This window comes from Homo sapiens, chromosome 21 (assembly GCF_000001405.40).
Source record: "Homo sapiens chromosome 21, GRCh38.p14 Primary Assembly".
NCBI classification, from domain to species: Eukaryota; Metazoa; Chordata; class Mammalia; order Primates; family Hominidae; genus Homo; species Homo sapiens.
In genome coordinates, this window is record NC_000021.9 from 44,491,258 (window position 1) to 44,517,209 (window position 25,952).

General features: G+C 55.9%; 1 protein-coding gene and 1 long non-coding RNA gene across 3 annotated transcripts in view, besides 7 other annotated features; one reads left to right on the forward strand and one right to left on the reverse strand.

The window, feature by feature from the left end:
• Window positions 366-866: an enhancer, noted in NCBI's record as "H3K27ac hESC enhancer chr21:45911506-45912006 (GRCh37/hg19 assembly coordinates)". NCBI's record gives its function as "activates a minimal SCP1, AML or CMV promoter by ChIP-STARR-seq in naive H9 embryonic stem cells {active_cell/tissue: H9 hESC(naive)}" and the evidence as "EXISTENCE:reporter gene assay evidence [ECO:0000049][PMID:30033119]".
• Window positions 867-1,367: an enhancer, noted in NCBI's record as "H3K27ac hESC enhancer chr21:45912007-45912507 (GRCh37/hg19 assembly coordinates)". NCBI's record gives its function as "activates a minimal SCP1, AML or CMV promoter by ChIP-STARR-seq in naive H9 embryonic stem cells {active_cell/tissue: H9 hESC(naive)}" and the evidence as "EXISTENCE:reporter gene assay evidence [ECO:0000049][PMID:30033119]".
• Window positions 867-2,093: a biological region, named in NCBI's record as "MED14-independent group 3 enhancer GRCh37_chr21:45912034-45913233".
• Window positions 894-2,093: an enhancer, noted in NCBI's record as "MED14-independent group 3 enhancer chr21:45912034-45913233 (GRCh37/hg19 assembly coordinates)". NCBI's record gives its function as "activates an origin of replication core promoter dependent on BRD2, BRD4, P300/CBP and CDK7 cofactors, and independent of MED14, by STARR-seq in HCT116 cells {active_cell/tissue: HCT116}" and the evidence as "EXISTENCE:reporter gene assay evidence [ECO:0000049][PMID:35650434]".
• The window catches only part of TSPEAR (thrombospondin type laminin G domain and EAR repeats), a 213,680-nt gene continuing 194,363 nt past the window's right edge, over window positions 6,636-25,952 (reverse strand). For both annotated transcript variants that reach the window (NM_144991.3, NM_001272037.2), the window contains 3 exons: window positions 17,942-18,129; window positions 13,523-13,624; window positions 6,636-8,679 (listed from right to left, as the gene is read on the reverse strand). In NM_144991.3, coding sequence (NP_659428.2) covers window positions 8,526-8,679; window positions 13,523-13,624; window positions 17,942-18,129 — 444 coding nt within the window. In that variant the 3' untranslated portion in view covers window positions 6,636-8,525. The remainder of the gene's footprint in view (window positions 8,680-13,522; window positions 13,625-17,941; window positions 18,130-25,952) is intronic.
• Window positions 11,905-12,424: an enhancer, noted in NCBI's record as "H3K27ac-H3K4me1 hESC enhancer chr21:45923045-45923564 (GRCh37/hg19 assembly coordinates)". NCBI's record gives its function as "activates a minimal SCP1, AML or CMV promoter by ChIP-STARR-seq in primed H9 embryonic stem cells {active_cell/tissue: H9 hESC(primed)}" and the evidence as "EXISTENCE:reporter gene assay evidence [ECO:0000049][PMID:30033119]".
• On the forward strand, window positions 14,787-25,318 carry TSPEAR-AS1 (TSPEAR antisense RNA 1). The gene is made up of 7 exons (NR_103707.1): window positions 14,787-15,071; window positions 15,390-15,842; window positions 16,780-17,052; window positions 17,470-17,672; window positions 17,995-18,149; window positions 18,566-18,670; window positions 24,240-25,318. It is a non-coding gene; the product is annotated as a TSPEAR antisense RNA 1 (long non-coding RNA).
• Window positions 17,130-18,329: an enhancer, noted in NCBI's record as "CDK7 strongly-dependent group 2 enhancer chr21:45928270-45929469 (GRCh37/hg19 assembly coordinates)". NCBI's record gives its function as "activates an origin of replication core promoter dependent on BRD2, BRD4, P300/CBP, MED14 and CDK7 cofactors, with strong dependence on CDK7, by STARR-seq in HCT116 cells {active_cell/tissue: HCT116}" and the evidence as "EXISTENCE:reporter gene assay evidence [ECO:0000049][PMID:35650434]".
• Window positions 19,467-19,516: a silencer, noted in NCBI's record as "silent region_13385". NCBI's record gives its function as "represses an Ori minimal core promoter by ATAC-STARR-seq in GM12878 lymphoblastoid cells {active_cell/tissue: GM12878}" and the evidence as "EXISTENCE:reporter gene assay evidence [ECO:0000049][PMID:35858748]".

Consider the following 25,952-nt stretch of genomic DNA (forward strand, 5'->3'; position numbering starts at 1 on the left):
AGCTCAAAGAGGCAGCAAGTTGAAGAAAGTGTGACACTGTTTTATTTTTAGGATTTTTTCCTCTTTTTTAAAATAAATATACGTGTAGAGAGACAGGGTCTCCCTTTGTTGCCCAGGCTGATCTCGAACTCCTGAGCTCAAGCTGTCCTCCCACCTCAGCCTCCCAAGGGCTGGGATCACTGGCATGAGCCTCTGCACCCAGCCCTTAGGATTTTTTTTTCTTTTTTAAAATTTTAATTATTTTATATATATTTTTAAGTTCCAGGGTACATGTGCAGGATGTGCAGGTTTGTTACATAGGTAAACGTGTGCCATGGTGGTTTGCTGCACCTGTCACCCTGTCACTAGGCATGAGGACCAGCATGCATTAGCTCTTTTCCCTAATGTTCTCCATGCCCCCTGGCCCAGCCCTCTCCCAACAGGCCCCAGTGAGTGTTGTTCCCCTCCCGGGATTTTTTTTCTTAAGGAAACACACCACATCAGGCGTTGAAGTGAGTGTATTGACTGTCTGAGGTTTGTGTGCACTTTTTAACCAGAAGTCATGGCTGGGGACACAAAAGCACCTCCTTGCCTATGTAGTTTTGTTCCTTTACTGCTTTAAACAAGCAAGATGTGGTTTGCATTCCTTTCGCTGCTGGTGTTGTTGGCTTTGTGTTTCTCAACAGAAATAACTTGCCTTGCCTTTGCTCTCAAGGTTGTGAAAGCCCCCCACCCCCATATGTTCCTTCCACTCATTTGTCACCGAGACCCTCAGTGTTGCTATCTGTGCATAATGTGTGTGGGTCGGGTTGTGTCAAGCATCAGACGACGTCGGTACCTCTCCTCACTGTGAAGGATGACCCTGTACACACCACTGCTCTAGGCAAGGATGCGACCCACCGTCCCGGGGTTAACCACATCAGTGTCACCATCACAAGGGGGTGACAGCCCTTTACAGATTACATCTCCTTTTCCTGGTGATTCTCCCTCTTAATCCCTAAATGAGTCCTGCAAGATGGGTGTTGATTCTTCCTATAGCACAGCTGAAAGAGTTGAATGGCTCGTCCTAGAGCACACAGTTTGGCAGGGCTGAGTAAAATGAAACCCAGTGCTTGTCCCTCCAGGCTGCGGCGAACCTGCACTAGAGTTTTATGAAAGTCCAACTTCCTGGCGATAGGCAGAAAAAGCAACGATCACCTTCCCTGATATTTTCACCTAGCAGACAGTCTTCAGCCCAGAGAACATCTTCCCAAAGTCCAAGACAGAAGGTACATGTAGAAATGAAATAGAGGTTCCTCTTCAAAGGGACTTTCCTCCCAGTCTAATTCAGAATAGATAGTAACCTCTTCTAGAAGCAAAGTTTACTCAAAGACCTGTGTTAATATTCTTAAATTCTGCTAGCTGTAATAAAGAAATCAATATACTCTGTTCTTAGCTCCCACATTTTAGTCTAGGTATTTGCCCTGGCATGCCTGAACCAGTCCAAGCAAGAATTAGGTCATAGCCTCTTCCTCTTCCTTATTTGGAAGTGTTTTTGCCTCTCTCAGCATTCCACAAGTTACTTCCTCTCTTCCTTTGTTCTCCTCTGCCTTTGCCTCTTTTGGGAAGTTCTAAGTTGCTAGCCAATCGAGACAAACAGAATGTAAGGTCCCATTCCAGCCGATAGAAACTGGGCACAGCAGTAGGGTAGCTGCGTCAGGTTATAAATGACCCTGTCTTTTTTTGTGTGTGCTCTTGTGGCAAGACTGCTAGCGAGCGGCACCCTTTCTGCAGAAAGTAAACTAGCCTTGCTGAGAGATCCTTTGTCTCAGTGTTGATTTCTGCAACACCGAGCACCCGTTCCCAACAGTAAATGTGTCTGCCTGTGTGTGTACACATCCACCCATCAGCCACAACCCTATGCCTGAAGCCAGGCACTAGAATGAAATTCTCAGGGTCATGTCATGTTTCAGATTTCAAGTCTCACTTCCCGCACCTGTTACCATTTGGGTCTATGTCTCCCTCCCAGATCATCCTCTGATTCTACCAGAGCCAAACCCGGAACCCTCTGCTCATTTCACCCTTTCAACACACATTTTCCAGGCACTTCTGCTGCTCAGCATCTCCCAAGGGTGAGCCCTGAGCTCTTGCAGGGATGAATGCTTTCCATGGCTTTTCTGTCTGCCTGCAGTTACAACCCCTGATCTCTGGGGACAGGACCTGCCAGGTCTGTCTGGAGAATACCCATGTGAGACTGAAACTGGCTTCTCCCACTCTCAGCCCCAGTGACCTGCTCTGTAAGGCTGGTTATAGGTGTGGCTGCTGCCCCTGCCCAAATGCTTTAGGTTTCCCTCCTGGGATTCTCCTGCCCCTCTAAGCAGCTCTCCAGGGGACCCCATCCTGACAAAGAAAGCAGAAAATGGAGTTCCTGATGAGAAAAGAACTGTTCTGTGAGGAACACAAGTCCTTTTACATGATCGGGCACAGAGAGATGTGGAGAGGGGACAGGAGTCCTGTCCTTCTCCCTCTGAGCTGTGTGTTCATCTTCAGGAGCTGCGTGCGATGACCATGAGGAGCCACTAACTAACAAATCATGCCCACCGGATGCTGCAACCTGCACCACGTAGCTTAGCAGTGTTATTTCTGTGAGCCAGCGAGACTCCCGACAAGCAGCTTTGTGTCGGCCTGCTCCATGTCACCCTCTTTTGCCTTAAAAACCTGCCTATAATGAAGGCCAAAGAAAGCAAGCTCATGGCCGGGAAGCTCACAGCCAGGCGTACGTGGGTGTGAGTCTTCTGGGCTGCTGTCCTCACCCTGGCTCAAGTCAACTCTTTAAGTTAGACTTCATGCCTCAGCCTCTTCCTTTTAGGTGAACACTGATGGGAATACAGGAAGGGCCCCCATCCTTCCCTGTCTGAAGCTCAGACTCCGCATGAGAGGACTTCCCACTCCATCTCAGGATGGAGACAGCCTGCTGAGGATGCAGCTTTGTCCAATGAGGTCAGGAGGGCTGGTGGCAGCGTCTGTTAATTCCGTTGGGGCAGCCAGTGGCAACTGGCAGTTATTCCAGCTGAGGATGCTGGGATGGATTTTTTTTTTTTTTTTTTTTTTTTGAGACAGGGTCTTCCTCCGTCATCCAGGCTGGAGTGCAATGGCATGATCTCGACTCACTGCAGCCTCAACCTCCTGGGTTCAAGCAACTCTTCTGCCTCAGCCTCCCAAGAAGCTGGGATTACAGACGTGCACCACCAAGCCTGGCTAATTTTTGTATTAATAGAGGGTTTCACCGTGTTGGCCAGGCTGGTCTCGAACTCCTGACCTCGTGATCCTCTGCTTCGGCCTCCCAAATTGTGGGGATTACAGGCGTGAGCCACCGCACCTGGCCTGGGACGGAATTTTAAGTGAACTGCGGCCCTTAGCTCATGAGCCCAGCTTCGGTGTCTGATGAAACGACACCGCAGGGATGGGGGAGAGGGGAAGATTCGCAGGTCACGCCGAAACCTCTGGTTAGCCCCGGCTTCCACATCCTTCCCAAAATCTTTAGCCCAAGTGCCGCACAGCCCCTTTTGCATGTCTTCCCCACTCCTTGGTGGCAGAGGCCCCTGTTGGTAAAGCAACAATAGAGAAGTGGAGAAGATAAAGAGCTGTGAAAACTGCCCCAGAGAAGCTGCAAGAAGCTTTGCTGGAATCAGGTTTTGCATCTCCGAATCGGAGCTCCATTTGTTGGGTCGGGGACCATGCTTAGTGGTTCAAGAACTGACAGAAGAGGTGTTTGCAAAATGCTTGTTGGGAGGATAAACAGCTAAAGGAAATTTTATCTGAGCCTGAGAACCGCCTGCACCAGCACAAAAGTAAAGCCCCAGCGCCCTCGGGCCAGGCCTGCTGGAAAAATTCCCATGTGTCAGCCCCAGGAAGACGTGGGCAAGATGAGGCGTATCCTGACCAACGCAGGAAATGGCCCTGCTCTTCTGCTGGCCCCTCTTCCACCATCGAGGCCGCTCATCCAAGCGGCGGGAAGTAAGAGGGTCAACTTTTGCACGGCCATTGAGAGGTTTCCTGGAAACCTGGCTCTCTCCCCACCGTTGCCCCATGAGCATGGTGGTGACGAGCTTGGGCTCTGAGATCAGAAAGTCTCAAGTGTGAAACCTCAGTCTTCTTCCTTATTAGCTGTGAGACTTTGGGCAAATTACTTAACCTCTCTGAACCTTAGTTTCCTCAAACTGTAAAATGGGGCAAATGTTGGGTGACACTCAGCATAACGTCAGAAATAGTGCCCAATAAATGTTGATCTCATCGGCCCCACAGCCCATTCCGCCACTCTCTTCTTTCTCTTCCTCCCCACAACCCAATTTCATCATTGCCTACAAACAGCCACAGGATAGAACTCGGGACAGTTCGGGACAGCTCTGGACAGCCCAGAGGTTATTTACAAGTCTAAGAGCAATCAGTGTGTCCTGCCCAACTGCCCAGCTGTTTGAAAAGCACAGTAAGAAGCTGGTGCTGTCCATAAGCCACATAGCTTTCTAGGAATGACAGGGGTGTGGATTTACAAAGTCACTCTTGACCCTTTAAAATAACACAACTATTTTCTGCTCCCACCATATCTCAAGTGGCACCCAGATTGTGAGGCCTTCCATCCAGTGAGTAGTGTCAGCTGGAGAGGTGGTGACTGATTTAGGGCTCCGGTTTAGGGCTGAACCAGGGTCAGCTGCTTCTTTGTGTGTTGGTCCCCTTCTGCGGAAAGCAAAGGGATTGGACCAGATGATCGTGAAAGAACCTTCCGATGTTAAGATGTAGAGTTTCGATGGTTCCATGATAGAGAGGGATCACAGAAAAGCTCCACAAAGCTTAACCTCCCAGGGGGACAATTACAATAATGTGAAGTTAATGCTAACACAGGATAGTTTGATGTGGGTGTGACGGCATAGGGAGGTCGGGGGCCTGGAGGCTTCTCAGACTCATTCTCAGCACCAGATGTGGCATCAGGAACAGCCTGAAGGGAGGCTAAGGGATCCCGCCCTCTCCCCAGCTCTGAAGATGCCTCCACAGTGAAGAAGAGACAGGGAGCCCCCAACTCTGCACTTTCACTGGCTACTCCCACACTGCGGGGCAGGGGAGGAGGAAGACCCCAACACCTCCCACCACCGCTACAGACCCCGACCAAACGTCAGTTCTCACCTGCGCCACCGCCCCAACCACCCCTGAGAGCCATTAGGTGACAGTTGTGCTTCACCCGCAAAAGGTCTTCCTTTGCCAATTTTTGTCACAAGTTTTTGCATATTGTTTGCATAAATTTGCAGGTAGGATTCAAAAGGTCCTGATTCCAATTACACAAGAGAAAACACACTGACTGCAAGTGCAGTTGAAGAAGGTTCTCAGAAGGGCACGCTGGAACCGCTCCCCGGTGCCAGGAGAGGTGTTTGAACTACGTGCTGCTGGGGCGCCCAGACGGGCTTCCCCACGATCCAGGAAATCAGAGCTTTTGCAACGTTGGCTTGAAATCGTGGCTAACAAGACAGAAAAGTGCTCTTCTCAACCCCAGGGGAAGACTGGGGAGGTGGGCGGGGCCCCAGGGCCCACTGATTCCATCCAAGAGGGGGCATGGAAGGACAGCGGCGAGCCCACGTCTGGAGCTTCTCCCTCCTGTGAAAGGCAAACAGAATCCTGAGATGCCAAACTCACTGTTCCAAAGGGAAAGGGAAAGCTTGGAAATGGCGTCACGCAAAACCTGCCTCTCAGGAGAACCAGTCTGTTTCTGAACAGAGAGCTTGCAAGACGGCCGGCCATGTATCTCCCCGGGAGGCCTCCCACACTCTGACAGTGTCGATGAGCAGCTGATCCTCGCGAGTGTGGGACAAAAGACTAGGGCTTGCTTTTATTTTTGTTCAGGGACACAGAGCCAACACCACCAGCTACTAAAGGAATAAAACCACATCTTGCTTGTTTAAAGCAGTAAAGGAACAAAATTGCATAGGCCAGGAGGTGCTTTTGTGTCTCCAGCCGTGACTTCTGGTTAAACACTCGAGAAAAACACAGGCTTGGCTTTTTCTTCTTTTCTGTGTCTACTCTATCTGACGTCAGATGCAGGTTTGCTGAGTGCCAGGTGAGTGCCTAAAGGGCTGTTCCCCCACCTCCCCCTTTCACTTGCAACGTGCACTCAGTGCGTGCTAATTAAAGCCTCCCAGGAGCCTGACCACTGGCCTCATTGCCCACCCACCGTCTTCTCTCTCCCCCTTCCCCCTGCCCTCTCCTCTCCTCCTCTTTTAAATACTCAGCACCTCAAAATGCTCTCTGGAAAAGGCCTGGCCACAGGTCCTGCTGTGACTGGTGCCACTTTTTCCTGGGCAGATTCTCAACCTTGGCATCATAACCCTCTAAGCTGACTGAGACCTGGCTCAGACACTTTCAGTTTTGTGCTCCAAACACTGAGTGGTAACTTTACCCAGAAGTTCTTAGATTTTCAGCCACTCAAGCCAGGCTCTGATTTCCAAAATAAGTCCAGATCTAGAACAGTTTGGGGAATGAAGGGATCTGGCTGAGAGATGGGAGTTGGAACAGTTGCGACACCGTCAGCCTCACATGAACAGAAACAAATTACTCAAACAAGAGAAGAGCAAGGCCCAACTGGAAAAGCATGTGGGTGAGTCTGCAAACCAAAAAAGTACCCGACCCAGGCCTCGATCAATGGAGAAGTTTATTTTGCCAAGGCTAAGGATGCACCCAGGAGACAGGTCTGTGCCTCTCTCCCAAGATGATGTTGAAGGCTTCAGTCAAGGGGAAAAGCCGGCTGGAGGGGGCAGAGGGAGGAGGGTGTGGTCACATGACTGATTGCTCCATGCTGCAGGAGAAAAGGAGCAGGTGGGAACAGTCAGTTACCTGTTTATCTCGTGCTCAGTAAATTGGCACTTTCCATGAGATAAGGGGCACACAGAGCAGCCACTAGTGGAGATGCTGACCCTCTCATCTGCAGCTGTCTGCTTAGGGCAAAGGGAAAGGCAGCTTCCTGCAGGACTCAGCTTTCAGCTTTTTTCTTCTTGGTTGAGTGAATTGGGGTGTCGAGTTTTTAATCTTCCTTTCACAGGTGCTGACCCAATGAGGCCAATCATGTGTGATTGGGACCTTCTGAGTGACTTGGTGGAAAGCAGGGCCCAACCCTCCTGCCCAGGACGCTTGGGAAAGCCTTGCTGGCTGGACGGAGGGGAAGGAGGCTCTCGGCGACTGCCCCCAGAGGGGAGTGGCTCTCCACTGGCCACAGCGATGGCTGGAGTGAGACCTGAGCCCCGGAAAAACACGAAGGTCCCAAAGCCGGCAAAAGTAGACACTGAGTTTATTATTTGCCAGACAAGGGGAGGCTTCCATTTCATTACGAAAGGTCAGGAGTGCTCTCTGAGCTGAAGGTGAACAGACAGCTGCGGTGTAGGAAATAGGAAGTTTTGTCCACAGTTCTGATTGGCGGAAAAAGCACATTGTAAACTCTCTGAGGATCGCTCCTGTTCCGATTTGTGTTGCAGAAGCAGGAGCACCGTTCCTGGAAGACCGTGGCAGGTGTGGTCTGGGCTGCGTGGCCCCGGAGCCTGCTGTCTGAGCCTCTTCTCATGGAGTGGGGGTGGTTTCTCTGGCACCTACATGGGTTAAGAGGGAGGACCCCTGGGGCCTTGCGCCCATCACCCCCTCTCATCCTCACTGCCTGTGACGGACAGACAAGCAGCTCTCCCAGCTGCAGAGACAAGATGACCACAGGAGAGCCAGCAGAGGATGCTGTTACCAGGGAGCTAGGACAGCCAGCACACAGGCAGACGGAGGCACGCAGCCTGAGTCCCAGTCAGCTGGAGGACATGTGATTAAAATGCTGCTGAATAGGGAAAAAATCCCGGGCCCAGAAGTTGAGGTCCCTGTGGGTGGGGCCGTGGGGAGGGGGTGCGACCCAGGCCATGCCCAGGCTTGTGATTTCTGACCTCGCGCTAGTGCATTTACGGGTAAACTGAGGCTGGGAGGGAAGCCTCTCTCTGTATGGGGAGGTGGTCCTCTGTCCGTGTCCGTGGTGAGGGGCTGTGCCCACCCGCTGCCTAGAGAGGAGCACCGGTGCTTTTGTAAAGAGCAGTATAAATACACTTCCGTTCAGATAAAACACAATAAATAGGTGGCGGCAATGGCGGGACGGCACCACACCTGCTCAGGCGGCCGGACGCACACTGCAGGAGTGGCTGGCGAGAGGCCAGCCGCAGGGACATGAACCGAGGTCCTGTTGTTTGAGGTAAAAATGTATAGAAACGGTTCCTTGACAGCGAAATCCCCGCTTGACACTCAGATGGGCGAGCACTGGCAGGGGCTCTGGGCCTCTGCCTGCAAGACCAGACCGTCACTGGGGCTGTGGCTCAGAAGGACTCAGAGGTGGATGGATGTCCCTGCCCGAACCAGGGCCGCAGATGGCCCCACCTGCACCCTGCCTGATGCCCAGGCCCGGGATGCCCTAGGCTGGGCCCACCTGGACGTCCAGGGTCAGTTGGGGGAGGTGCTGGGGTCCCGCCCCACCTGGCCACCCCAGTTGCTGCCGGGCAGCCGCGGCCTCAGCGTGTCCTCAGCCGCAGGACCCTGGAGAGGGGCTCCTTGGCGCTGGAGTAGATGAGGTAGGCACCAGCCGTGGTGCTGAAGGCCTCCCAGTCCCTGCAGCCGACGGTGGGGAGGCTGTGCACCGCCACGAAGCCCTCGTAGCCCTGCCACCTGCGGAACAGACAGCGGCAGCCGGGTCAGCCTGGGCTCTGCGGGGCAGCTCCTCTCCCCCGGCTCCCACCCGCGCTGTCAGGGACCCAGCAGCTCTGGGTCACATCTGAGCCTCTTCCATCCCCCCGACTGGCACAGCGTGGGGAGATCGATTCTGGGCCATGAGGGCCTTCTCATCTTGCAAAGCAGGAGGCTGAGGCCCAGAAGAGGAAAGATTCCAGATCTCACCAAGATCCCAGCGCTACCTCCTATCCACCCAAGATCCTAACCCCGGGGACCCCCAAACGTGCAGTTCCGAGGGTCGGCCTCAATCGTGAGGTGCGTGACTTTCCCCAGGGCCCCCCTCAAACACACGCAGGCCACCACGCAGGCTGGAACCCCTCCGTCCTCAGATACAGGAGCCCAGCTCTCTGCCCGCTGCTCTGCGGCCCCACGTCAGGGGCTGCCCCAGGCCCTCATTCTTGCTCTGGGCGGCTGCTGGCCGCCAGGGTTTGCCTTCAAAAGGACTCATTTATCCCAGGAGCTTCCATTTCCGAGGCGTGGAGTCCCCAAGGCAGGGCGCCGACATCAAAGGGCACGAGTTGTTTACATTTAATATTAAATAATAAAGTATGAAAATAAATTCTTCCAGACTGCTTTCTGGAAAAACCGTGGTGGCTTCTGCTCTCACGGGAAAGGGCAGGGTGGGGTCCCCCTGGGATCCCCCAACCCACTCCACTGCCCATCTTTAACACACTTCCAAACAAATGGGGGAGAACCTGGCAGGGTTTTGCTTTGAGGACAAATCCCTTATAATGTTTATTCACACTGTTCATCTTTTCTTCTAAAAATTCATATTTATATCTTTTGTCCATTTTTCCAAATTTAAAGACACATTTTTTATTAGTTTGTAAGGGTTGGTTTTCTGTCGTGTGTGTGGTAAAGAGTTTGTCTTTTGCTTTTGAATAGGATGTCTGTTTCCATAGAAAGCTTTTAACACAGGTGGTCGACCCAGTGCCTTTCCTTCTGGGCTTGTCTTCTTCATAGAACCCTGAGGTTATACAACTGCCTTCAGCTTTTCTTCTTTTTCACATTTGGACTTTTAATCCATATAACATTTATTTTTGTGTACAATGTGAAGTGGGGGTAAGCTTTGTTTTCTTCCAGATTACATGAAGCTAATCTCCCGAATCATATGGAGTTATCAAGTAAAACCCATCCTTTTCTCATTGCCTTCAAATATAGCATTTATGGCCGGGCGGGGTGGCTTACGCCTATAATCTCAGCACTTTGGGAGGCTGAGGCGGGCAGATCACTTGAGGTCAGGAGTTCGAGAACAGCCTGGCCAACATAGTGAAACCCCATCTCTATTAAAAATACAAAAATTAGCCAGGCATGGGCTAGGCGCAGTGGCTCATGCCTGTAATCCCAGCACTTTGGGAGGCCGAGGCGGGCAGATCACAAGGTCAGGAGATCGAGACCATCCTGGCTAACACAGTGAAACCCCATCTCTACTAAAAAATACAAAACAATTAGCCAGGTGTGGTGGCAGGTGCCTGTAGTCCCAGCTACTCAGGAGGCTGAAGCAAGAGAATGGCGTGAACCCAGGAGGCGGAGCTTGCAGTGTGCCGAGACTGGGCCACTGCACTCCAGCTTGGGCGACAAAGCGAGACTCCATCTCCAAAAAGAAAAAATAAAATTAGCCAGGCATGGTTGGCCCATGCCTGTGGTCCCAGCGACTAGGGAGGCTGAGGTGGGAGGATTGCTTGAGCCTGGGAATTTCAGCCTGCAATGAGCTGAGGTTATGCCACTGCACTTCAGCCTGGGCTACAGAGTGAGACCCTGTCCCCCCCAAAAAATAAATAAGAAGGAGATATTATTAAAAAGGTACCCAGGCCCAGATGGCTTTATAACTGAATTTAACCCAGCTGTCAGAAATGAGAGAAAAAATCCTATTCTTCAGACTATCCCAGTCCACAGGTGCAGTTAGAAAGCCCTGCAGTGTGTATTTACTGTTAGGCTTCATTTTAAACTGGATAAAGTTAAGTCCCCAAAAGAAAACCACCGAGCAATCTAATTTCCTATTATAGATGCTAAAAGCTTAAAGACAGGCAATTGGAAGCCAGTGGCTTATTCAATAATTCTGCATCATCACCAAGTGGCATCGGGTCTAATAACGCGAGGAGATGTCTCACTATAAATCATGACATCAACAGTAAACATAGTGGACCGCACCACGCACTCACAGATGCCAAAGGAGACCTCAGCCCTGGCCCGGATGGCCCACAGCCCATCAAACGGCCATGCTCAGATGTGCTCGTTAAATTAGAGCAAGGTGGGACAGCTGCCACTTCTGCCGCCATCCAAGATTGTTCTGGAATCTTTAGCTAGGGAAGCAAGCTACATAATCAATTAGAACACTAGAAATCAAGGGGAAATGTTCTTTATTCTCAGAGGTAATTACATTCCTAAGTCCCCTGAGAATCTTTTTAAGAAAAGCTATTAGAACTGATTGGTTAGGGGGCGAGAAAATGATTGTCATGATGAGCAGCTGCAAATGAAAGTTAAAAAGCCAACCCCATTCGTTAAACGTACGATACTTGGAAAACTCCTGGAAATAAATGAGAACACCACAGTGTCTATGAGAGAAAAATTAAATATCAACAACTCCCATGTTAGGATGTCCACACGCCGCATCCCTGACAGAATCCAAAGGCAGAAGCACCAGCACTCGTGGGTTGTGGCTACACCCGGGGCAGGGCCCCAGCTCAGATCCCACACGGGTGCAGCCAGCGCCGGGCCATCCACTGGGCCCAGCCAATCTCGGAAATGACACCTGACTTGGGACTCGCTGTGAGCCGGTGGCACCTGCGAGAGAAGGTGAGCCCCCGGGGGGAAGCAAGGCTCTGGGAGGAGGCCGGCCTCGGTGAGCCCTTGGGGGGAAGCAAGGCTCTGGGAGGAGGCCGGCCTCGGTGAGCCCTCGGGGAAGTAAGGCGCTGGGAGGAAGCTGGCCTCAGTGAGCCCTCGGGGAAGCAAGGCTCTGGGAGGAAGCTGGCCTCGGTGAGCCCACAGTGGGGAAGCAAGGTGCTGGGAGGAAGCCGGCCTCGGTGAGCCCTCGGGGGGAAGCAAGGCTCTGGGAGGAAGCTGGCCTCGGTGAGCCCTCAGGGGGAAGCAAGACTCTGGGAGGAGGCCGGCCTCGGTGAGTCCTCGGGGGGAAGCAAGGCTCTGGGAGGAGGCCGGCCTCGGTGAGCCCTTGGGTGGAAGCCGGCCTTGGTGAGCCCACAGGGGGGAAGCAAGGCGCTGGGAGGAGGCCGGCCTTGGTGAGCCCACGGGGGGAAGCAGTGTGCTGGGAGGAAGCTGGCCTCGGTGAGCCCTCGGGGGGAAGCAAGGCTCTGGGAGGAGGCCGGCCTTGGTGAGCCCTCGGGGGGAAGCAAGGCTCTGGGAGGAAGCCGGCCTCGGTGAGCCCTCGGCGGGAAGCAAGGCTCTGGGAGGAGGCCGGAGTTGGTGAGCCCTCGGGGGGAAGCAAGGCTCTGGGAGGAAGCCGGCCTCGGTGAGCCCTCGGGGGGAAGAAAGGCTCTGGGAGGAGGCCGGCCTTGGTGAGCCCTTGGGGGGAAGCCGGCCTTGGTGAGCCCACAGTGGGGAAGCAATGTGCTGGGAGGAAGCTGGCCTCGGTGAGCCCTCAGGGGGAAGCAAGGCGCTGGGAGGAGGCCGGCCTTGGTGAGCCCTTGGGGGGAAGCCGGCCTTGGTGAGCCCACAGCGGGGAAGCAAGGCTCTGGGAGGAAGCCGGCCTCGGTGAGCCCTCGGCGGGAAGCAAGGCTCTGGGAGGAGGCCGGAGTTGGTGAGCCCTCGGGGGGAAGCAAGGCTCTGGGAGGAAGCTGGCCTCGGTGAGCCCTCGGGGGGAAGCAAGGCGCTGGGAGGAGGCCGGCCTTGGTGAGCCCTTGGGGGGAAGCCGGCCTTGGTGAGCCCACAGGGGGGAAGCAATGTGCTGGGAGGAAGCTGGCCTCGGTGAGCCCTCGGCGGGAAGCAAGGCTCTGGGAGGAGGCCGGAGTTGGTGAGCCCTCGGCGGGGAAGCAAGGCTCTGGGAGGAAGCCGGCCTCGGTGAGCCCTCAGCAGGAAGCAAGGCTCTGGGAGGAAGTTGGCCTCGGTGAGCCCTTGGGGGGAAGCTGGCCTTGGTGAGCCCACAGTGGGGAAGCAAGGCTCTGGGAGGAAGCCGGCCTCAGTGAGCCCACAGTGGGGAAGCAAGTCTCTTGGAGGAGGCCGGCCTTGGTGAGCCCACAGTGGGGAAGCAAGACTCTGGGAGGAAGCCGGCCTCGGTGAGCCCTCGGGGGGTAGCTGGCCTCGGTGAGCCCTCAGGGGGAAGCAGGGCTCTGGGAGGAAGCCGGCCTCGGTGAGCCCTTAGGGGGAAGCAAGGCACTGGGAGGAAGCTGGCCTCGGTGAGCCCTCGGGGGAAGCAAGTCTCTTGGAGGAAGCTGGCCTCGGTGAGCCCTCGGGGGAAGCAAGGCTCTGGGAGGAAGCTGGCCTCAGTGAGCCCACAGTGGGGAAGCAAGGCTCTTGGAGGAGGCCGGCCTCGGTGAGCCCACAGTGGGGAAGCAAGGCTCTGGGAGGAGGCCGGCCTCGGTGAGCCCACAGTGGGGAAGCAAGTCTCTTGGAGGAGGCCGGCCTCGGTGAGCCCACAGTGGGGAAGCAAGTCTCTTGGAGGAGGCCGGCCTCGGTGAGCCCACAGTGGGGAAGCAAGTCTCTTGGAGGAGGCCGGCCTCGGTGAGCCCACAGTGGGGAAGCAAGTCTCTTGGAGGAGGCCGGCCTCGGTGAGCCCACAGTGGGGAAGCAAGGCTCTGGGAGGAGGCCGGCCTCGGCAGCTCATTACCTGTAAATAATACTGTTCACCGAGAAGGTACGCCCATCGAAGGAGTTGGCCACCACCAGGAAATAATCTTCTCCCACCGAGAAAAACTCCCAGTCCAGAGCACTGCAGGAACAAGTGGGTGGATATTAGGACACAACAGACATCGCCAGGGAACTGGGGGATTGGCCAGAAGCTACCTCCAAAATTTATAGAGGAGGAGCCGGGGCCAAAGTGGGGAGTGATTTTCTCACAGTCACATATGTGTTGGTCTATTCCAGGAAAATGTAAATTAGTTGTTTGCTTAAAAAAAATTTCAAATTTTATTTTATTTTATTTTTGAGATGGAGTCTCATTCTGTCACCCAGGCTGGAGTGCAGTGGCGAGATCTCGGCTCACGGCAACCTCTGCCTCTCGGATTCAAGCGATTCTCCTGCCTCAGCCTCCCGAGTAGCTGGGATTACAAGTGTGCGGCACCACGCCCGGCTAATTTTTGTATTTGTAGTACAGACAGGGTTTCACCATGTTGTCCAGGCTGGTCTTGAACTCCTGACCTCAAGTGATCTGCCCACCTCAGCCTCCCAAAGTGCTGGGATTACAGGCATGAGCCACCATGCCTGGCCTCAAATTTTAAATTATGGTAAAATACATATAACATAACATTTCCCACCTCAACCATCTTTAGGTGCACAGATCAGGGGCATTAAGCACATTCATACTGCTGTGTGGCCGCCCCCACCATCCACCTCCAGAACGCCTTCATCCTGCAAAACCGAAGCTCTGCACCCAGTAAACATCACCCCCTCCCCCCTCCCCCCCCCCCCCCCCCCAGCCCCGGCACCCACCACGCCACTTTCTGTCTCTATGAATTTGACCACTCTAGGGACCTCATATGAATGGAATCGCACGGTATTTGTCCTTTGTGTCTGCCTTAGCTGAGACTCCAGTGACTCAAGGTTCATCCGTGTCGCACTGTGTGTCAGAATCGCCTTCCTTTCTAAGGCCGAGTAACGCTCCGCTGTGTGAATGGACACGTTGTGTTTGTCCATCCGCTGACAGACACTTGGGGAATTTCCTCCATGTGGCTACTGTGAATGCTGCTGCTATGAACACCGGGGTACAAAAGTCCACTTTTAAGAGGTTGAAACAATCAGAGAAAAAGTCTCAGGCTGCTGGTGCCTGCTGGAGGCAGGAGCTTGGTTTCCCGCTCTGGACACTGTGCAGAAATGGCGTCACAGTGCTGTGGCCTCTGTGCCTGGTTTCTTCTCTCAGCATTGTGTCTTCAGCTGTGAGGTCAGCGGCCGTGAGGTCACTCCAGGAGGTGCCTACAGGACCTGCAGGACCTGCTCGTTCACAGATGTTCTCCTAGAAGCAGAAGCTGTTTCTTGTTGCAAACAAATTTGCTGTGTCCTGTCTTAGGAGTCTCACCTGAATTTACCAAGGATGCATCTGTGCTTGGGGATGGCTCGGTTTGAGGGGTCTGAGGAGCGGCTCCCCTGGATCCTTTCCTCCCCAGGAGCCCACCTGCCGAGCTGTCAGCGTCAGCCCCACATCTCAAGATGAGGAAATGGAGGTCGAAGCCATGCACACGCAGGCGTCCTGCTGACATGCAGGCCAGGCGGGTGCCTCTGTATTCAGCAGCCTCAGGGCTGTGGCCAGTTCAGGCAGCAGAGGGGCCTCATCCCGGTGCTTCCCTGCAGGCAGTTGTGGGGCCGGCCTGCAGCAGGGGCTCAGACAGGGCCTTGGGAGAGGGAGGGATCACAGAGGTGTCCAGTGACAGGCAGGGCGGGCAGAGCCCATGGGGCCTTGGGCTCCTCACTCCTTCGGTCAGTCAGGGTGACATCTGGAGCCACCTCCATTAATGGTGGGTTATGATTTGGTTCCCATGCAGCCCGTGCCAGCTCGCTGGGAGGAGGACGAGGACGCCTGTGATCACATGCTCTGGTCTGGAGGCACGGCCGCGGGCCCCGGGTCAGTGTGAATCCGCGGGGTTACTCCTCAGTCGGATCTGAGCTCTGAAACCCAGACCCGAGGAAGACAAGCGGCCACGTCGGATGTACCAGTGGTGGAAGATCCTGTCCGGCTGCACCGAGGCTCACATCAGAAGCCGGCTTCGGTTTCACCACAAAATAAGGCATCTAGTGCCCGATTCTGCCTCCAAAGCAGCCCTGGGTCACACTCGCTGTAGGACAGATGTTATTCTTCAGAATCACGCCCTCTGGCAAATGCCCATCATCGGACAAATGGACGGATGAAGTGTGACTCAGCCATGAGAAGGGGGATGCTCTGAGCCGCGCGGCCACACCACCAACCCGGAGGACACGGTGCTGCGAGAAAAAGCCAGGTACAGAGGCCACGGCTCTACGAGTCCATTTCTGTGCAGTGTCCAGAACGGGAAATCACAGAGACAGGAAGTGGGCCCGGGGGTGCCCAGTTGGGAGGGAGGGGCTGGAAAAGGGTGTGGGGGGCTCCTTGTGAGGGGATGAGAATGTTCCAGAGTTGTCTGCAGCCATGGCTGCACATATCTGTGGATTTAATAGAACTACTGAATCTAAAAAGCAAACACAAGCGACCATTTGAAGGCAGTCAGAGCCAAGGTTACACACAGAAGCCACAAAACCCCTCAGCGCCCTTGAATAGGGTTTTGGACTTGGTGAGGCCACATCACGTCTCCGGGAAGTGTAGGGAATTCCCCATGCTGGGTAGAAGGGCTAGGAGTTTGACTTGTGTGTGCTGTTTTGATGGTAATTATTAAACATTACCTTAATTAATTGGTAAGTACTTTCTGTGTTTCATAATTTAGTTCATAAACTGTCCATACCACTGTCCAGTGGTGACAGGGCCATAAGTCGCGAGTGTGTAGCTGTGTTCTGTCAGTTCCCGCAGCTTTCAAATCCCGAGGCGTCTGCCTCATCTGTTTCTAGACTGGGCATCATGTCCATGACTAATTTTTAATCACAATTCATTCTCCAACTTGTCTTATTCTAAATGTTGTTCTAAAAAGCCTAATGTTTGTTTTGTTCTCGGCGTTGACATTGGATGGCGTGGATTCGTGCTGGGGACACACAACTGCCACCGCCGCCCCGTGCCTGTTTCTCCTGCCATGGCTGCCAGGCCACGCAGGGGCCACGGAGCCCACAGGCAGGTCACCCCGGAATCCCCAGTGCCCCCAGCAGACACCGCCGCTGGCTCTTTTTCTTTATTATGAGTGTTCTTTTTTTAATTTTTAAAAATCATATAAGTAAGATATTAGTAAGTTAACATTGTCATCCTTTGTAAAGCCAGGAGTTCAGAAGTAACAGGGCAAATAGGGAAAGTCCTTCCTGGCCTGTCTACATACCCCTGCAGCCCTCCCGGTCCTAGGGTGACTGCTGACGGAGAGGGCACTCCCTTCCCGAGTCTTCTCTGCACGTCCGTGGGCACGCACAGCTGAGCGGCACACAGCAGCCCGGCTCGCTCCTCCGCACTGGGGACACAAGATTTCACTGCACCTCACCCAGCCCTTTCCACAGAGCAGTTCATCTTGGAGACTCTTCCCCTCGAAGGGTCTAAAGGTATGTGTTGTTGTGTGTCTCAAGCTGAGATTAGAGCCCAGTGCCCAGGAGGGGCAGGTGAATTGTTACCGAATGAAATAGGAGTGCATGAAACCCGAGGAAACCTGGGAAAGCCGCCTGCTCCATCCCAGGATGGGAATGGGCCAGATTCCAGCTCCAAGCTTGACCCATGGCCCCTGGCTCTGGGATCTGGGTAATACGGATTCGATTGCAGGTTTATTCACAGACCGGAATTCCACCCCAGAGGACGCCCCACACTGGTCAGGATGGTTGTGGATTCTCAGTGCCCACTGTCCAAAATGTGGTGCCCACGCAACCTCCTGTGGCTCCACGGAGCGTGTCGGTCTGGAACCATCACTTTCTCGTACATACAGACCCACCCTCCATGTTCCCTGGATCTCACATCTGTCTCAACAGGCCAGTCTCCGTGTCCTGGTGTTTGTTGTCGGGGAGGATGCAACATCGGGGGAAGGAAGTAATCATGTCTGGTGGCAGCTGGCACTGGCAGGCAGCGGGCACTCGAAGCCTGCACCTCGCACCTGTCCCTCTGGGGCCTCGGCTATCCCTCCGCACGACGGGCATGAAGCCCCCTCCTGCCTCCACTGCTCGGATGAAAGGAGGTAATGGGTGTGAAGGGGCAGAACTCCGCACACAGCACCCGGCTCTGGGAACCAAACCTGTGTCTCAGGGCGGCACTGACTTCCCCAGGCCAGGAAAGTCCCCAGGCCATTCTTTCCACAGGAAGGTCCCCAGGCCATTCTTTCCACAGGAAGGTCCCCAGGCCAGTCTTTCCACGGGAAGGGTGGTGAGGATGAGCCTAACGGGGATTCCGACATGGTGGGCCTCCCAGAGATCAGCCCACCTCCCACTGGCCTGTGGAGGCGCATACCTGCAGGTGAGAATGTCCTGGAACTTGACAAAGGCCTGCGCGGTCACGTTCAGCTCGTAGATGACGGAGTTGATGACATAGGAATCATTCTGGACTTGCATCTCCACATCGTAGCTGTGACTGTTTGCCACAGCGAGGAAGATCCTCTCCCCGATCTGGAAGACCTCCCAGTCTGCAGCACCGAACGTCTAGGACCAAAGGAGAGCAGGTGCAGAGGTGTGGGGGAGCGGGCGCAGAGGTGTGGGGGAGCGGGCGCAGAGGTGTGGGGGAGCGGGCGCAGAGGTGTGGGGGAGGGGGCGCAGAGGTGTGGGGGAGGGGGCGCAGAGGTGTGGGTGAGCGGGCGCAGAGGTGTGGGTGAGCGGGCGCAGAGGTGTGGGAGAGCGGGCGCAGAGGTGTGAGTGAGCAGCACTCTCCCTGGCTGTCCCCAGGGCTGCCACTTGGCAGGACGTGGGATCTTGGCACAGCCCAGTGCCCGCTGTGCTCCAGGTGCCAGACGTGGCACTCCTGCTGGCAGCCTCCTTGGCCACTTCTCCCTGAATGTTAGTGCCAGCTGTGCCCAGCCCTGCCCCTAGCGACCATCTGTGTGACTTGCTTCTCAGCAATCCATGCCTTCTCCTACTCCAGGCCCCAGTGCTGTGCGTCCTACGAGCACCACCTGCTGTCTCACCTCTTCCAGGAAGCCCACCCTGATCCCTCTAGTCCCAGCCTCAGACACTGAAGCAACATCAGGTACCTCTCGAGTTTTCTCTTACACGCTTTCCCTGGCCTTGCAGTTTGGCTGAGTCTTTCCTCTGGCTCTGTAGACAGAAGCCATCTCTGGGTTCCTGTGCTTGCCATTCCTCCATAAATCACTTACCACCGTCAAGAGGCAACAGGTCTGGGGCTGCACACGGAGGCCCAACTGCGGCACCTCTGCCACCAACCTTGAGCTGCAGGACTGTCTGCATGTGGGGTCCACAAGGCGGAAGCTTCTGCCAGCACCTTGGGGATAAGGGTGGTGGGGCTGCACGGGGAAGGGGAAGGCTGCTTCCCTGGGGACAGTGTCCCCACAGGCCGGGGATCCCTGCGCACGGTCCCAGGCTGTCCTAGCTGAGGACGGAGCCGGTCATGCTGCGGGGCTGTGTCTCTTCCTGACTCACCCCCGTCCGGAGGGCCTTCTGCCTGAGGGACATTGCACCACCGGGCCAGGTAAGAAGCAGCTCTGAGAGCCTCCCGTGACAGCAACCACTGGGACGTTTTCTATTTGCCCAAATCGACCAGCAAGGGCCCGGCTCAGACGCCCCTGGGTCTGATGCGACCTGCCCTCCGCAGCAGGTCAGGCACCCTCCCTTGCTTGTATGCTCAGGACGGGGCTGCCCAGGCATCTTCTGGTCCCCCTGACTGTCCGGCGCCTGCCCGGCCGGCTCAGGTGCTGCAGGAAAGAGAAAACTCTGGGCCCAACGTCAACGTGCGTTCTCCACGCCCAGCAGGGGGCGCCGTTGCCCGCCCGAGCCCGGAGAGCCTGGGCTGCAGGGGAGGGCGCCACAGGTGAGGACACAGCTCCGTGGGCACCAGGCAAGGTCCCAAAGCAGATCCGCAGCCGGTCAGAGGAGCGCACATGGGTGAGCTTAAGCTAAGAAAGCAAGACTCACTAGGCAAGGACAGGGGCCCAGGACACCTGGCGGCGCCGAACCCTCGGCGGGGGCGGGGCCGGGGGCTGGCTGAGGCTTTCCCGGGTCAGCGCGCCCTCCCCTCCTGCAGCTCCACGAGATGTGACTATTCCTATCTGCTGGAGAACAGCCGTCCAGGGCCACCCCACGTCCTTCAAGGGGACTCTGAGACACTCTGGGCCGGTGGGACCTTCAGCAGCATCTGGACTTTGGCTGCCTCACAGGTGGGCGGGGGGGAGTGTTACACACAGGCCAGTTCACTGACTCAGCAGAAGAGAAACAGGAATCATCAGACTGTTCAACCCTGGGCTCCTCCCACGCCTGTGCTGAGGAAACCAACTGAGTGGGCAACCCTCACGTGTGTACACATGCCTGCACACACCTGCACACACAGGCCCATACCTGCACACCTGCATGTATGCATACATACACAAACATGGATGTGCACTGTGCGCACACACACATGCACGCCTGCATGCATGCATACACACACAAACATGCATATGCACTGTGTACACACACACATATATGCTTACATTTTTACATGCACAGATGCACATGCATGCCTGTACACATGTGGATACACATGCAGATACACAGGCCTGCTCATGTATACATACACATGTATACCTACACACACGTATGTATGCATGCAACCATGCATCTGTGTCCATGTGCATATGTGTATACTTGCACACATGCCTGTACACAGGCAGATCCCTGCAGGCACACCCATGCATCCGCCTGCATGACATCTACACACACACATGCACCCACACAGCACAGCTCTCCCCACATTGCTGGAAAAGACTGAGGACACACGCCTCCAGCCCTGGGCGTCCTTCCAGTGGAGCCCCTGCTTCTTAGCTACTTGCTGATGCTCACCTGTGTTGAGGCAGATCCTGATGGACTGCCGGGGCCAGAACAGCCTGAAACTCCCTCTCAGGGAAAGGCCCGGAGTGCCCGCCCTGTAGCAGCCCAGGGTGATGGGGGACCCCGAGCTGGCACTCAGCACTGTGTAGAGAGAGCTTTACTGCAAGTTGGGGCTGAGCCGGGCATCACATCTCAGTGATGAGTGAGGTGCCCTCCCTGCCCAAAGGAGCCCTGGAACGGGCTGCTGCAGATGGGGGACCATGGAGGGGCTGCCCGGGGCCTTGGGGGCACAGAGGAAGAGGGCCCAAAGGCATGGAGGACGGACAGGGGAGTTGGCAGCAGGAAGCAGGGAAGGGTATCCAGGCAGAAGGAACTGCAGGACAGACACACAGGACTGAGGGAGCCAGGAGGGCTGGGCGCACACAGAGTGCGGAGCAGGGGCTGGGGCGGGCCTACAGGGCCTGGGTGCTGTGGAAAGCAGCTGGGCCTCCAGGCAAAGGTCACTGGGGAGCCGGAGGAGGCTTTTGAGCAGAACGAGGAGGTCAGATGTATGTGGACGGCTCTGAGACCCACAGGAGCTAGGAAGGTGTCAGGAGAGAGGTGAGCCAAGTGCTGTGGGGGTGGGGTGGGGTGGGTGCCACTCCTAAGATGGGAAAGAAGGGTGGTGGTCTTGGAGACAGGCTTCTGGAGACCCCTCAGAGAACTCGGTACATCCCTAGGGATGGAGACAGGGGCTTTGGGAGACCACTCAGAGAACCTGGTATTTCCCTAGGCATGGGTGGCACACGGGCTGCTGTGTGAGCCCTGGGGAGGGGCAGGTGGCAGGAGCGTAGGGTGGAGGTGGCGGTGCTCTGGCCACAGCCCTGAGGCTGGTGGAGACCCTGGGTTGGGAATGCGCGAGACGGGCAGTCTGGTCTGGTGGGACCTGTAGCACTGCAGCCTGCCTCCAGGGCAGGGATTGTGCCCACGTTTCATGGGGTGGCAGGGAGCAAACTTTGAGTTGCATCTTGGTTGGAGCCCAAGGTGGGGCGTGTATTTGTTCCAGGAAGAGCACGTGTCAGCTGTGGGGGTGGGCATGGAGGTCTGTCCAGGGCATGGCAGTGGCCGGAGTGAATGCTGTGTGGTCACCTGCCTGGGTGCTGCTACGAAGCAGAGCTCTTGCTGGAGTGCAGGGCCAGACAGGCCTGGGGGGCCGGGGGCGGCTCAGAGGCTGCTCAAGTCACCCTTCTGTTCCCTGTACCCAGCGAGGGTCTGTGCACCAGATTTAGCAAATCCAGGGTCCCTGTTCAATCTAAATTTCAGACAACGAATGATTCTTTAGTCTGTGTGTATCCCATGTAATACTTGAAACATACTTTGGCAAAAAGAAAAATTAGTTTATCTGCAACTGGCTGGAGGCTGGCAGAACCCCCACGGGGTGTCACCGGCTCCTGGTCCCAGCATTTAGCTGGCCGAGTCCACGGTAGGGCGGTCATTGTCATTGGCTATTGACAGCCCCTCCTCCCTATGCCAGGCTGTCAGAAGCCCCTTGCAGGTTGGAGTGAACCTGTCCCTCTGCTGAAGCCGGGGCCTTCTCACATTCAGAAGTGAGGAGGTGCCCCCCAGGGGCTGTGCCAACCCAGGCAGAGGGTGTGCAGTGTGGGACCCCCCTGTCAGGCCACTCCCAGATTTTAAGCACATTAGGGACTCATAGAGGAGAGAGAAAGAATCTTCACATCAAAGGCCCTGCCAAACCCTGGCTGGCACGGGAGCCAAGCGACCAGGCACCTGCTGGGCTGGGCAGGCCCTTCCCGCCCTCCCTCCAATGGAATTCCCCAGAGCCTGGCCCTGCTGCCCTGGCACGGTGCCTGGCAGCTCAGGAGCATCTTGCTGGGATGATGGTGCTTCCGGGACTTGGCAGCCAGGAGCACCTGGAGCCCCCAACAGCTCCCTCGAGGGCGGGTGGGCACCCGGTAATCAGTGGATTAGTTGCTGGGCAAAGAGGCCCTTGGGTTCCGGCTTTGATAGGGCAAAGAAAGAGGATGCCTCTGTGGTCTGGGAATGCCAGGGGAGGGGAGGGAGGCAGGATGCACCCCTGGGGCTCCCTCCCTAGCCACCAGAAGGCAGTTCCCCAACAAGCCCTGGTTGGGGGGGCAGTGGCATCCTCTCTGAGGGTAGCCAGCTCAGGCTGGACAAGCATCCCGGGTGGCCATGGGGGCAGCGCTACTGGATGACAGGTGACTCCCTTGAGAGAACTGGGCTCAGCACACTCCCCAGCCAACTCTTGGGTGCCCCCCGTGCTCTTCCCGGCCCTGCAGAACCCGCAAGCCTGGCACCTTCCCCAAGCTGCCTAGGCCACTGCCAGCTCCTGTGTCAGAGAAGACAGAAGTCATGGGGCATAGCTGCCACCTTCCTGGAGCCCTCCCGCCCAGGCTCTGCCCAGCCCCTTCAGGCTGTCCTGGGCAGTGCTGACCCCTCATGCCACCCCCTTGACAGATGTGCAGATGGAGACTCAGACACAGCCAGGCCTCATGAGGGTGCTTAGGGGCTCCTGCCTGTTTTTCTAAGCACCACATGGCTGCCTGCCGGGCACCTGTCCCCAGAGTGGCCCCCACTGTATCCTTGCCTACAGCACCTCTTGCCCTTCCATGGCCATGGAAGCGAGTACACACACGTGTGCATGAGTGTGCATGTACATGTGTGTTGAGCCATGGGCGGGACCCTTGGGAAGTGTGTGGCACCAAGTCGGGGGCCCAGCTGTGACGAGGGGTCCTTACTAACATGGTGGCTGCTGCTGGCCTTGTGAGGACCCCACATGCCGACAGCTGCAATCACAGAAGCACCAAGCTTTGGAAGCTGCAACACCTTCTGAGGTCTGCAGCAAACTCACTTAGAAGCCAAACCTATTTTGGAGTCCACATTTGGTGACCGCGACTGCACGGCCTACTCCTCGTCAGCTCAGGGAGCAGGACCCTGTGCCTAGACTTCTAGGGACAGAGCTCACTCCTCCTTTGGTCCAAGCTGGGGAGGCCCAGTCATTGGAGGCCTGGTGTCTCCAACCTGGAAGAAAGTTGTTCTAGAATTCCTGGTGGGATGGGCAGAAAGACTTTGAGGGCAGGCGGAAGAATGGGACATCAAACCACCTTCCCCAGGGTGGGCAGCCAGCTCCTCACTCATATCTGCCCTGGGGCTGCAAAGTCCTGCCATGCCCACCGACCATTCCCTTGGAGCACTGTACTTAACCTGCAGTGCCCTGGGAATGCGCCCACCCTGTGTTTCTGGGAGAAAGTGAGGTCTGTGTGCACAGCTCCTCAAACCCCACCTGCACCCCACACCCCCGCAGACCCCTCCAGAAAGGGCGCCTCTCTATGGCACACACCCACTTTCAAAGCATCTCGGCTTCACCCGCTTCAAAGCTCACGTTCATGAAAGACATTGCAAAACTCAAACCAAACAGTAAACAAATTAAGACATCTCTAGGACCTAAAAGGATTTCAACACAATGTGAGAAATGTTGGCAAAACATGAAAGTGGGCTTTGTGAGTTTTGAGGAATTACTGAGTTTTGAAAGATGAGGCTCAGGCCAGGTGGAGAGGAAGCCCGTCCATGTGTGCGTGGTCCCAGCGCCTTCCCAGGGCCCTCCTAAGGCACCTTCAGGGCCTGGGCCATGATGGCGCCCCCAGCAGCCAGGTCCCCGTTCCCGGAGTTCTGGTTCTGCTTTGGGAGCTGCAGCCGTGCTTCCTTCTGTCTGCTGTGGTCCTGCTCTAGCCCCTGCTCTTCTCTGATGTTTCTTTCAGGCGGATGTCACCCACCCCTTGGGACTTCGCCATGGGTCGCTAGCCCAGACCCTCCCCTTGGTTCCGGTGGTTCCATTTCTGCCCCTTTGCTGCTGGCCCCCTTCTGAGGATGCCCGTGCATCTCCAGGACCACTGCTCCAGTCCTTGGTGTAGATCAAAGCTGGCCTTCACACGCGGCCTGAAAATGTAGAGTGGCCGCCTTCTGGGCTGGGCTGCCACCTCCACCACATCACCCGTGACAGAAGCCCCGTGTTTTTCGGTAACCACGTTCCACGAACACCTCCCGACTGCCTTCCAGAACACACAAAGATCAACGAAGCTCAGAATCCAGTCCCGACGTCATTTCATGAAGAGCAGGTAGTCCATCAAAGGGATGGGCCCCATGAGTGAAGGGCTGAGACCCCACCATGGTGTGAGGCGTCCCAGGCACTCCCGTCACGGCCCAAACCAGGCTGCAGGCTCCATCCCCATGGGGCAGGCACAGAGGAGGCGATTCATGTGGACACAGGGACACCTGTGGACGCCCTGGCTCGGCCGCTTACCGCCGTGTGTTTGTGGCCAGGTCCCTGCTCCTGAGCCTCAGTTTCCACACCTGTGAGATGGGTCTGAGGTGGAATCGCCAACCAGCTGAGGATGCGCAGCCACAGACCACCTTCCAGAAATCTCCAAAAGGCTTTCCAAAACAGGAAAACAAGGAAGGCTGCCATCAGCAGGAATTCCAGGGCTTTCAGAATGAGGCTGTCAGGAGTGAAGGGAGCTGTGCTCCACATGCAGGGCAGTGGCCAGGGCTGCCAGGCCTTGTTTATCTGGGAGCGCCAGGCTGCCTGCCTGCACCTGGTCTGGGCACCTGAAGGCAGAGCTGCTCCTGCTTAGGGTCTGTGGCAACTGTCCTCCTCAGTGGGTGCTGCTGGGAGCTCCTCTGATTCCTGGTGGGCGGCTTCTGGCCTCGCCTCTTCACCCACGGTGTAGGGTGTGGGATGGAGATGCAGGGCCTCTGCTCTCCTTCTCCCCTCCCCCAAGCAGCCTGGGTTGTACCTCCACTAATAAACACCAACACCCGCGCCCAGGGTGGGTTCGGCCACGGGGCGATTCTCTGAGTGACACATCAGGATCAGCTTCGTGTGGTCCTGACCTTACGGTAATGTCAGCCCCCAGAGCCAGGGGCCGGGCTATGGCACCACCCACCCAGGCGATTTCTATGTCGGGATGACCAACTGTGCCATCCCTGGGGCAGTCCCCCATGCCAGGCAAACATTCTCCTTTCATGCTTAAAATCACAGGACGGGTTCACCTGCTTCGTCCTTGGACCTGTGATCTATGTACGCTGCTTTTCAACAAGTTTCTAGTTGTCCCCTCCTGGGTATGGCCCTCCCCTCCTTCCTTCCCAGAGGAAGAAAACACACCAGCTCTGCATGCGAGAACGCTCCCAGCTCTCCCATCTTCCCATCGCAGGAGCCCCTCGCTCCTGCACCCTGGGGCTTTCGGTCCTGTCCCACCTCAGCGGCTGCTGCACAGGAAGGCCGTCCTGGCCTGGCCCCTGTGTCTCTGCCTTCCTCGACTCCTGCAGTCTGTGCTTCTGTCACTCCTTCAGCACGCCATCCCTGGACACACTTTGTGCTCCGTGGACTCCACAGCCCCCAAACCCCCTCTTATGCCCTCCCTGACCCCAGACCATCTGGGCTGGCTTCTCTCTAGGACACATACCAGTTCTCA